The sequence below is a fragment of the Homo sapiens genome, chromosome 4, assembly GCF_000001405.40.
Source record: "Homo sapiens chromosome 4, GRCh38.p14 Primary Assembly".
Taxonomy (NCBI): Eukaryota; Metazoa; Chordata; class Mammalia; order Primates; family Hominidae; genus Homo; species Homo sapiens.
The window spans coordinates 77,712,540-77,725,289 of NC_000004.12; the positions used below are offsets into that span (position 1 = coordinate 77,712,540).

Sequence of the window (12,750 nt, forward strand, 5' to 3'; positions counted from 1 at the left end):
TTCTCTATCACCTTATTTTAAAGTCATTTTTCAGCTGAATATCTGTAAGCACAGTTTGCAGAATTCCTAATTATTTCACTATGTGCCTTCTCTCTCTCTCTTTCCAAGATTCTATGATTTAAGATATCTTTACTTTGACTGAAACACTGGAATATCTTCTGTGTCATAAGGAGTATTTGGAATATGAATTCTTGGAGGATAGGCATTATAAAGATGTCTTTCATCTTAATATGCCCACAGCACCTTGTTCACAGAAGATACCTGAATGTTTGTTGAATGAATTTACTTGAGATCTTAGCAGGTCCAGCTGTTGAGTTTCTTCAATATTGATAACTCAGCAAATCTGTCTGGTGGTTGTCTGTCAGTCAGGATCAACTAAATTAAGCCCTAATAACACAACTTTATTGTATTAACACACTGAGATTTAGCAGTTGTTTATTACGCTACATGCCCAAAGGACAGCAGGGGAGTTCTCTTCAACAAAGTCACTTAAGGATCTGGAATGAGAGGTTTCATCTCAACATATACTTCTATGATCACACAGGCAAGAAAAGGAAATATGGCAAATTAAAGACTGGCCCTTAAAGTTCCACTCAGAAGTGACATATATCCCTTTGCACTGGTTTCTTCGGGCAAAGCAAGTCATATAACTAGCTTCAGAATTTTTTTTAAACAATGTACTTAGTAATGTAGTTTTCACCAGAAAAAAAAATGTAGCATGAATTTGTAATTATGTATTTTGCCCTGAATTATCTTGGCTCCCTACTTCACTTTAGAAGAGACGTATCAACCTAAAAGCAGAGGTTTATACTGCACAAATAAAGAGTCAAAAACCAAGACAAAGGTATGCAGTTGCAAAATGGCCATTTATTGCCTACAGGGGAAGGAAAGGGAGGGAGAGAGGGGAAGTACACAGGTGCAAGGAAACAAGCATATATTTAGCCCTATACATCATGTGTGAGCAGTAACCAATCTCCAAAATGGAAAAAAATATTTTGTTATCTGACATAGTAGTTAAGGTTCTTAAGCACCTCCCTTCTGAGCTGCCACAAGATTTAAAAGGCAGGACTGCTTTTTTTTAGTCAATGTTCACATTAATGAAAAAATACTACCAACCGTGTCCTTTTGCACGCACACTTTGTACAGTGTCTATTGTGAAAAACATCTCAGCTGAGCAGTTTTGGTCAAGATTCAGACCTCATCAACTGTTTAACTGTAATAAATAGAAAAATAAAGCAGCTGGTGATTTTGTCAGAGAGAATGTGTTCAGTAAGAGTAGAACCACTTTCTCCAGGGATGGCAGAGAGTGTTAAATGGTTAAAACACCTACAGAACCAGTCTATTAAACATTAAACACTAGCAAGCTACAATTACATGGCACTTCATTAAATAGTCTAATTTAAAAAAAAATCTTAGATTTTAAACTGATTACTGAAACACAAAAACAAGTTGATTTAGTCCTTGGCTTTTTCTTAGAACAAAAGCAAAGTAAATATACAACCTAAAACAGCAGAATTTGTTTTGGAATAGTATCAATGGAAACTACCAAGTATTCAGGGAAAAAGTTACTAAAACACCTTGCTTGGTTTTACAGTCATGTGCTTTGCTTTGCAACCATTAGAATTAGATAGTTACAAAAACACTTTATAGGTCACAGAATGACTCAAATGTATGCAAAATAATGAATTCTTTAACTTAATGCCAGGTAATGAAAATAAATGAACCTTTCCCTACTCAAAACGATAAATTGAGTGGAAAAGTAGATTGTCCCATGGACAATTAGTTGGCACTTGTTATATAGTTGAAAAAAATCACAACAGAAGATATAAATTAATCGATGGTGAATTTGACCAACACCCTGGCCCTTATAGAGAGAAAAAGTACATACACACTCTCTTTAAAAAAAAAAAAAAAAAAAAAAAAAAAAAAAAAAAAAGCCCTCCATACTTCCCCACTCCAGAGACAACAAAGCCAAAGATGAAACATTCAACCTTCTCAAAATATTCCAAGTAGTTCTATTGAACTCTGTATCTCAGCTTCTCCAAGATGAAAAAGTTGTTTGCATTTGGACAACAACTGTACGAATGCCCATAGTGCACATCTCAGTGCTGCTGGTGTTTAAGAAATTTGTCACTCATAACCCTGAACAATTCCAGATCCAGTGTGCAGTAACACAGCCATCCAAATCCCTCCCCTTGAAAAGTTGGCAGAGCACCGCTCAGGAATTTCACAGGTAAGGGAATATATTTTTAGCAAGTTAAGCACAGAGAAAGGACAGTACAGTTTCTAAGTAAATACAGACCCAGATACTGCATCACTTACTGCATCAAGATTGAAACAAGCAGCAGGATACTAAGTCTGTTTGGTAAGAAGCAAAGCCATTGTTTGACATCAATGCTGAACCAATTTTGTGACTTCAGATAACTACAAACTAAATTAAATTGGTACATATAACAATTGATAGCTTGAAAGACAATACATCAGTGATTTGAAGTTAATACGAAACTGAAATGAGCAAGAAAGGACCACTTCTGAGAGGGTTACCATGATTCTTACGCTTTAGAGTTAAAAGTGACAGACATACAACTGGAAAATTATCTAAATTTTGAGAGATTGTTCTAACAAAAATAACTAGTACTAGGCACCAAACTAGAGCCTCCGAAAGATTCTGAAAGCTGAATGGACCATGCTACCACCATGCCAAAAGAGTCATATCACTTGGCATTTGTATATCCTTTCCATAATGTGATTTGTTTCTGATGACATACTTCTAAAATGCAGTTCAATGCTACTCAGTTTATACAATGTACCATAAAAAAAAATTAACAATTAATAAGCACAAATGTCCTTATGTCATAGGCTTTGAAAGTGAAAACTATTTTACTTAAAAAATATTCTATTACTTCAATGTCATGTCTGTTGAACGAAGAACTCAACATGCTTATTTTCCTTTGGTTCCAGGAAAAACCCAAGTCTAACCAAATGTATGCCACAAGGAACTGCCAACTGGGTTAAAGCTTGGTATTTTCCTGGTTATCACCCTATTTCCTGGTGTAGGACCTGGGGTTTAATAGAGACATTTACATAAAAAAGGTATTTGGTTAAAACAAGAAATATGCATGCTCTTCCTTACCACCTTCCTGGAAAGAACTGCTTTTTTTTCTTTCTTTCTGTGAATCTTGTTCAAGACATCCTGTAGTTTAGATATATGGGCTGCTTCTTTTTTACCCTCAAGCTTTTAGGTGACACTTATAAAGGTGAGCATATCATTCTATAAAATGAAAGATGCTCTTGGCATCCTGTTCTTAAACAGATTAGAACTTTGGTAAATAAGACAGATTAAAGATGTACTAAAATGTTTGAATTAATTTTGGTGATCATGATGCTATTACAAAATTAGAATCGCCCAAAGCAACCATAGTATAAAAGTTCTCATCTGCCTACAAATTTAAAACTTTAGTTCAAGCTTCTGGCTTCCCTAGTTAATTTCTCTACCTACAATTCACACAGTTCTCCAAACATGGTATGACTCAAAGGGAAAGGCGTAAATGAATCTACTACACATTAGAAAAGTGACCTTTTTTAAAGGGTAGGGCAGGTGGGAAAAAGAATATCTCATCAATGTGAGAATTCACATTTCTGTCAAAATGTAAGTATGTATGAGTGCTATTTTGAAAATGTGCCATAAAGTCTTTGCTTGCTATAAAAACCATTATTTTCCAAAAACTGGTCAGCATATTTTGCAAAGCTATTAAAATATCTCAGAAACAGAATAAAAAAGCTTAGAATCAAATAAGCATTGGGACACAGTCAATTTTATCATTAGAAAATCTAGCCATGTATTAGGAATGACATAATGATGTGGTTATATGCCTCTGGTTCTTCAAAGAATGTATTTAGCCTATTCTTCCCTGTGCTTTCTATAGTCTGCTGTTTCATACTAAAAGTATAGATGGCATTAGTGATTTTTAGAAACGCTTGGAAATGCAAATATAAACTTAAATTTTCACCCATTTAACAATATAAACTTAGAATTTTAAAATGGAACACTATATTTGCCCATGTTCCAGTTTTAATGTGCCACATCCTCAATTCTAATATAATCTACCATAGAATCAAGTGATATGAGCCTTAGATATCTTTCAACTTTCTCCCTTGCTTCTCTGTGATTTAATATATAACTTTAAGACACCAAAAAAATAGGGGCAAATAAGAAACAGCTTTTATATTTTTGCCAACTACACTAAAACACAGTGGCTTCTTTAATACATTCACACAGGATGCTAATTAGTAAAATTAAATACCTGCCTATGAATATCAGAAAAGTAATTTGAAAAGAAAGAGCTTGGAACAAGGCAAATGGGAGGGGAGGAAAAGCTGGTCTCAGAACCCATTGTGCCATACCTGACTTCAACATGTGATATTCAAACGAATGTTCACACGCCTTACATCAAAGAAATGAAACAAAAATATTCAGCTATGTTATTATACAAAATTTTTTTTACATAAAACATCATAAATCTGGAACAGATTTACTATATCTGAATTCTAAAAAGTTGCCTATAGAATGGTGCTGGGATTCTGTTCTCTGCTTGCTTTTAGGCAGTGCTGTTGCTTAAAAGTTGACACCAGGCACAATATTTTAAAACAAAATCAACGAGCAAGGAGCAGTAGGTGGATCTGAGCCTTTCCCAGATGTCAGGCCTGAGGATGCTGCAATATTCCCCATCAAAATGTGTAAAGCTATGAGGTGGATACTGATGCCTGAGAGAGTGGGTGACTTGACATGCACTTGTATGACTGTAATAATGGCAAACAGTACAGTTTTCTCTTCCTCAAACAATACTGTTTTAGTAAATTTTAAGAACATTCCGGTTCTTAGACAAATATCGAAATAATATTTAACAGTTTTAAAAAAACATGTATCACATTCTAAAAATGCCCAGATTTTCTTTTATCTTCTGATTAAAATATGCAGCAGCCCAATGGCATAAAGCTTAACTCATTCTGATAACTAGAAAGTATATGAGCATATATATTTTACTTTCATTGAATATATATATATATATGTCATTCACCTCTTCCTTTTGGCTTCTCACTGCCAAAGTTCCAAATGGCATGCGGTTTAACAAGACAATGCTGAGGAAAGCAGCATTTCTGATCATCTGAATTGGCAGCTCAAAACAGATACCACTCCTTTTACAAAGGGAACAAAGGGTGAAGGGTATGTGAAATTTGGGCAGTGGGCTAAAGGGAAACCGTGCACATGAAATTTGGGTTACCATGCCCCAAGTGTGTACCACCCAAAACATAACACAATTACCTACTTCAACAGAGCTACTACCAACATTTACTAAAACCACATTAAAAATACACAGGATAATGAATGGTTTGAAAGAGCGCATTTGAAGCAGAGAGAACCCAATTACACACCTTCCTGCAACAGAGTGCCTCGATCATACACAAAATAAACTTAAGCTGTTTACAATGTTTCCCATTTTTTTTTATTTTTTCCCTCTACATTTAACTATTAAAAAAGTTTTTTATTAATAAATGGGCTCCTCTGTGGTTCATATACAATCATAAGTGAACTTTAAATTCCATTTTATACAAACATCTCAAAAAATATTGGGAGTGAAGTATGGTAGGAAATATTGCTCACATTGCTAATTAACATGCGTATATGAAAGGAGGAAAATGTTTTGTTAGTGCATATACCTCCAGAGCAGAAAACCCACCCAAAACAAAAGATCTAAAATAAAACATACAGTAGCTGATTACAAAAAAAGGTAATGTCCACAAAATTAAGTTTTTCATGCTATTCTACTTTCCAGTACTATGCTTCAGGTAATCAATTTGCATGGCTAGATGTTGGATACTTGAGGTATATAAGAAGGGAAACCTGCATGTTGAGGAAAATCTGTCATCTTAAGGGTTGTTTCTTTTTGTTTGTTTATCCTGGTACTTTAACATTTTTAAAAGATATTTTATTTACATCAAAATTCACTGAACTACAATGACATTCCAATTATAATAGATGACAAACAACGCCTCTATCACTAGGCACTTTTAAAAGGGAGTTCAGGCTTTACAGAACCCTTCTGATGCAATCCCATGTATGATATGACATCATCCCACCACCCTCGTCCCACTAAAATTACCCTCTGGGGAAATATTACCTTATATAGCCTGATTAATTTACTATGGAAGAAATTAGCATAAAATGACCAAAGTAAATGCATCATTTAAGACTAATAAAACAGCCGAAGATGTCAGGTTTGAAAGAGGAGACAAATTGTGTATATTTAAAACTAATTAAATAATTTAAATTTGACCTATACTTTATATATTAGTGAGACACAAATATAGGCTATTGTCTTTTAAAATTTCATTCACATAATGGAAAATTTCTTGTTTATTAAAAATATCACATTTTGAGACTAGAAACAGTAAAGTGCATGAAAAGTTTAAAATATAAATTTCAGAAAACTCTTATAGCAGCAAAAAAGCAGAATAAAGAAAAACTTAAAAACACAGACACAACCTTTTCCTGTTACTGTGCCATAATTAACATCAAGTAGCCAACCAATTTTTCCCCAGAAAACAGTATTCTGTTCACTGCCTCTTGAGTCACAGATTTTCAACTGGCCCCTCCTAGGCAAAAAAAAGATTCCAACATACCTAAAGGCATCAACAATTGGGAATAAACCAGTAGCTTCTTAATTCAACCCTGACAGACAACTGAAACAAAGATTAAAAGCATATGATGGCCATTTGGCAGCTAGAGTCAGGAAAATGACCCAACGTTTTCAACTACTGCCCCAAATTTGTTCTCTCTCCCAAATCCTTTGCACTGTCATCTCAAGAAACCAACAGCCACATAATCTATGTTGGAAACACATAAAATATCTGTATGATTTTCCCCATCTGAAACTTTGATCAAGGCCTTTTTATTCAGCAGACTTTTTTCTTCTTTTAACATTTGACTATAATGGCAAAAATGACATAGGTCATATAACATCTGTTTTCCTGGCACAACCAGACAGAAGGTTGAATTGGAATAAGGAAAAATTCATTCCGTGGGCATCCTAAACATACCACATTCTATTTTCAAGGTATGTGGCAATACAGATTACTTACTTTTTCTCTATAAATAAACTTGAGAGACAGGCTTAGAATTAATACTTCCAATAAGGTTATATATAAAGGACAAAAAAACCAAAGTGATTCCTCAAAAAAACTCCAAACCAGCATTTGGCCAACAAATTGTCATGTGGTGTTACATGCTGGATTATAAAAGTATACTGTGCAACCATCTTTAATTTTTCAAATTTTCTTACCATGTATAGAGGCTATATCATAGTTTATGGACTGAACAAGTAAATTTAAGTACTCTGTTAATGTGCAAATGACTTTGGAATCCAAAAGTCAGTTATAAAGGAAAAATTCAAGGTTTTCCCTGGAAGGCATATCATCATTCAGTTTAAAATACTGTATTTATAGTTTTTAAAAATTGCCTTTTATAAAATGGTTGGCTCACTGAAACCATTCAAAAGAAAGTATTTGTTTTGGAAAAACAAATACACTGTTATTGGGCCTCAAATTGGTAATTTATCAATTTTGAATGCTGGCTGTTAATACAATATAAAGAAGGTCCAATTTAAAAACATGTTAAATTAAAATTTTGTAAAGAGAGTAATACTTTGGTTCCAGCCCTACTGCCAAATGATACCAATATGCACAAAAATGTACAAAGTCTTACAGCAAACACATAATGAAAGAAACCTGAAGAAGCAGCTTAAGGATGGCCATACTTCACTCCTACATACTTTGATTTACAACTGTACAGGTCCATAGCAACAGATCCCCGTCTTGGCGGGGCAGTACTCCACTACCTCCGATTAGGCAAGTGAACACCATTGACAAGAGGCAGGAGTGGAGGGTGGAGTTCAAGTTGTGTTAACAGTGAGAAGTGGTCTGAAGGGATGTGAGGGTGTGGACACCCAGTGATGTTGTTCTCAACCAGCCATTGAGGATCTAAAGGCCCCAGGACACCAAGCACGTTCATATGAGTCTTGGAATAGAAAATGTAGTCAATCACGCCCTGGAAAGAGATTGGGAATAGGAAAAAAAGAAAAATTCAAGATATATAAAGAACAATCCATAATTTATAAAAACCAAAAAACTGACTACCCTTTCTTCTGGTACCTGTTGTCTTGATAGTGGGTCAAATAAGGCTCAAATATTCAATGGGTATTACATGAAATAAAGGTGGCTCAATAGGGAAACACAGCATGCTATTGGAATTATAAATCCTTCCATTTGTGTGTAAGTGATAATTTGAGAAGCTAAACACATTAAATTATGTCTAGTCATCTTTAGAATTGGCCTGCTTGGTTTAGTGAAATCCAACATATCAGTATAAATATAATGGAGCCTGTACTAATCCTATTGGCTATAATAAGTAGAAAATAAGAATATTTATATGAGCACATACATAGTTAACGGTATTATTTTCAATTATTTGCATATCAAGATATCCAAACACACCTGACTGAAGCTATAGTAAACCATGTTTATGGATTTGCTAATCCTAGTCTAGCTTTCCCAGATTTGCTACATACATACAAAACACTACACAGTTAACTATTCTATTCTTAATTTAAAATACTCATTTTCACAAATACTGGAATATGTGTAAATTCTGGATTTCCTTGCTACATAAAGACAACTCAGCAAAAATCATTCAGCAGGAAGCCATACATAGCAGTTTTATCTGTCAGAGCTAGATGACTGGATTTGTCTGATCAGTAAGTCTAAAACCAGGGGGCTTTTATTATCCCAGGTTGTGTATGCAAGACAGCAAAATCAAATTTCTTCCTATCTAGTTCCTATTCATATCAAGATAGCCTGAGCCCAAGTAGGGAGAAATATTTCTACACCTGTAAAAACCTATTTACAAATACTATACATGAGTTCCAGCCAATACTTTAAATGGTATTACAATGAAATGGGCTACTTAAAAAATAAAAACTTTTAATGAAAACAAATTTTTTTATTGTGAGATTTTGGACACAATCATTTCAGTTTGTTGATTTTCATTTGACCAATATCAAAACACCAAAACTGTTCCTCTTCTAAGAGACAAGATTCAGGTGCAGTGTCTCATGCTTGTAATCCCAGCCCTTTGGGAAGTGGGGGCAAGAGGATGGCTTAAGTCCAGGAGTTCAAGACCAGCCTGGTAAACATAATGAGACCCAGGATTTTACGAAAAATTTAAACATTAGCCAGGTGTAGCAGCAGGCACCCATAGTCCCAGCTACTCGGAAGGCTGAGGCAGGAGGCTCACTTGAGGCCAGGAGTTTCAAGCTACTTATAATTGTCCCACTGCTTTCCAGCCTGGCTGACAGCAAGACTCTGTCTCTTAAAAAATAATAATAAAAGAAAAGAAAAAAAAAAAGAAGCCCTTATCCAACCTTACTTTACCACAAATTAAGGAACTTACATGAGTCCAGGGGACTCCAAGTTTAAACAGTCAAAAAATGATAGGATCATAAGGTATTATCCCTTCATTTTGGTTATAATGCCTAGTTTTACAGTGATATTTTAGAAAATGAGTTACAAGGATCACGGTAGTTTTACTTCTCCTTATGAGACAACTTTTTGCTTCAATTCTAAAATAAAACACATGAAATAATCTCAATTACTTATGTTGAACAGAATCTCCTATAGGGCTGGGCACAGTGGCTCATGCCTGATGCCTGTAATCCCAGCACTTTCAGAGGCCAAGGCGGGCAGATCACTTGAGGCCAGGAGTTAATTACCAGCCTGGCCAACATGGTGAAACCTCCTCTCTACTAAAAATACAAAAAAAATGGCTGGGTCTGGGGGCGTGCACCTGTAGTCCCAGCTCCTAGGGAGGTCAAGGCCCAAGAATTGCTTTAACCTGGGAGGCAGAGGTTGCAGTGTACTTAGAACACGCCACTGTACTCCAGCCTGGGCGACAAACCCTCCTATATCTTACAACCTTATTAGAGTGCCGTCATGCACATCAACTGCTAGAGTTCTTTGCAAACGTAGGCCCCAAGAAAAAGTTAAACACTCCAGGAAGTAAGACGCTTTTAATTGAATGCATCACTTGTAACTATTTTCATGGTTTGAAATATCCAGAGTAAAAACTCTTATCAAAACTCTCAGCCAGGTTATGTCTGTGAATTCACCCAACATATTTGTACATATGCATCTATGAGGAGGATCCCTAACTTTGATCATATGCACAAAAAAGGTTATAGACTAATGATTTTTAACCCTTTTGAGTCAGTTTCTTTCTTAAAATATTTAATATTAATAATGTGGGAAAATGCACTCTTTATATTAGTAAAGACTATTATTGTATAAGTCTATAGAACTGTATTTCAACAAAAAGTCAAAACACAACGAAAATATTAATAGTCTGTTACCACTATGCTAAGCTTTTTTAAAAGAATGCCAGAAAATTACAATTTCATAATGTAACAGAAAAGTTTACTATTTGCTATAAAATAAAAGCTGCCCTTCCTTTTTTTTATTAAATGATTTGGGCACACCCTCAGATTAGAGGATAAACGTGGGGTGAGGAGCAGCAGTAGTAGGTTTGAATTAAGCTGTTTATTAAACTTACCTGGTCTGAAAGTAATGTTGAAAAAGGAGTAATCCTTCTAATTGTTTACCCTTCAGTTCATTCCAAATCAGTTTGCAATTAAATGAATCTGAGCTCTAAATAACTCTTTTCTACATTTCTAGCTTGTTCAAGGACGAAGAAAGTAAACAAATACTAAGCTAAGCAAACAAAATTTAACACCTCACTGATACAATGGCCCCTCACTAATACAATTGGATCTGCATTTGATGCTGATCACATGGCATTTTATATTTGATGTTACCTACCCTTTTTTACTGATTGCTTTCAATACTGGGATAGCATTAACTATGTAAAATATATGTATAAAACTGAAAAGTTCATTTTCTGTTACTTGGACTAAGAGCTCAATTCTCTCTACTCAGGTGTGCCCTTAGTCTCTAGCCATCCTTCCTTGAAATACTATTCTATTGTCTCATCCCATCTATCTATCCAGCCAGCCTATTTATCTTCCCATATATTACTCTCTCCCACCAACTTATACCTTTATCCTTCTCTCTGATCCTATCTTATACATCCAAACATCAAACACTCTCTGAGCCAGGCATTTCTAGTTCTTTAGCCATACTTATTTGAACAATGTAAATGGCTCAATAGGATTTTTGATTCAATTACTAACACATGTAAGAGCTTTTGAAGGACTGTCAGTAAATAATTTTAAACCAATTCAGATGACTGAGGAAGGTGGATTAATGTCCCAAATTGTGTTTCTCTGATTTTTATTTATGGACAAGGAAGAAGTAAGCTTTAAAAAAGTCTAGGCTGGGTACAGTGGCTCACACCTGTAATCCTAGTACTTTGGGAAGCTGAGGTGGACGGATTGCTTGAGCCCAGGAGTTCAAGACCAGCCTGGGCAACATGGTGAAACCCTGTCTCTACCAAAAGAAAAAACCCTCAAATATACAAAAATTAGCCCAAGACCAGCCTGCGCAACATGGTGAAACCCTGTCTCTACCAAAAAAAACCCCTCAAAAATACAAAAATTAGCCAGGCATGGTGGCACACACCTGTAGTCCCAGCTACTCAACAGGCTGAGGTGGGAGGATTGCTTGAGCCCAGGAGGGTGAAGCTGCAGTGAGTCATGATTGTGCCACTCTAGGTGACAGAGTGAGACCCTGTCTCAAAAAAAAAAAAATCTAGGCTGGGTAGGGTGGCTCACACCTGTAATCCCAGCACTTTGGGAGGCTGAGGCAGGCAGATGGCCTGAACCCAGGAGTTTGAGACCAGCATGGGCAACATGGCAAAACCCTGTCTGTACTAAAAATACAAAAAATTAGCTGGTCATGGTGGTGTGTGCCTGTAGTCCTCGCTACCTGGGAGGCAGAGGTAGGAGGATGTCTTGAGCACAGGAGTTTCAGGCTGCAGTGAGCAAAAATCTTGCCACTGCACTCCAGCCTGGGTGACAAACTGAGACCCTATCTCAAAAAAAAAAAAAAAAAAGGGCTATGTGAAATAGAATAAAATTTTTTCTTTTTACCTACACACATACCTGAACAATAATAATAGTTGCAGAATTACTAAACACTTATTTTCGGGAACTTTATCACAGGTTTTCTGGGTTACGCTGGCAGATATATATCACTATAGTTACAAGGATAGGATTTAAGCTGTGGTAAACTGTATCATTAAAAGGTATTCCTTTAAGCTTACATAAAAGCAATGATGTGCTAGAGTCAGCTAGTGCTAGCTTTCTTAGCACCTCTTCCCAACTCTATGTTCAATGGTATCATGTTGGAAGATAGGATTCTGCTACAGAAGTACTTAAACCACAGAAATCGGCAAACACCACAAATCAGAGCTTTTTCCCAAAAAGCTCATTATTAAATATTTACCAGCACATCACTACATACAAGTGGCTGGAACAAAATGAACTATCGCTGGATTGAATTATCTTTTCTAATAGCAAAAATACTAAATTAGATTCAATTTCTAAGCAATTTTTTTTCTCTTCATGATTATGAAAGCTGATTAGTAACAACACACGAATTTCTTTTCTTCCTCCTATTTGTTTCTTGGACAGGAGCTAACCCACACAAAAATAGAAAAAGGTTATTGGAAATATAAGGGAGGCC

At 35.6% G+C, this 12,750-nt stretch overlaps 1 protein-coding gene across 19 annotated transcripts in view; it reads right to left on the minus strand.

Moving 5' to 3' along the window:
- Positions 1-847: 847 nt before the first annotated feature.
- CNOT6L (CCR4-NOT transcription complex subunit 6 like) overlaps positions 848-12,750 on the minus strand; it is a 106,883-nt gene continuing 94,980 nt past the window's right edge. For all 19 annotated transcript variants that reach the window (NM_001387835.1, NM_001387839.1, NM_001387836.1 and 16 more), the window contains one exon: positions 848-8,104. In NM_001387835.1, the coding sequence (NP_001374764.1) occupies positions 7,892-8,104 (213 nt within the window). In that variant the 3' untranslated portion in view covers positions 848-7,891. The remainder of the gene's footprint in view (positions 8,105-12,750) is intronic.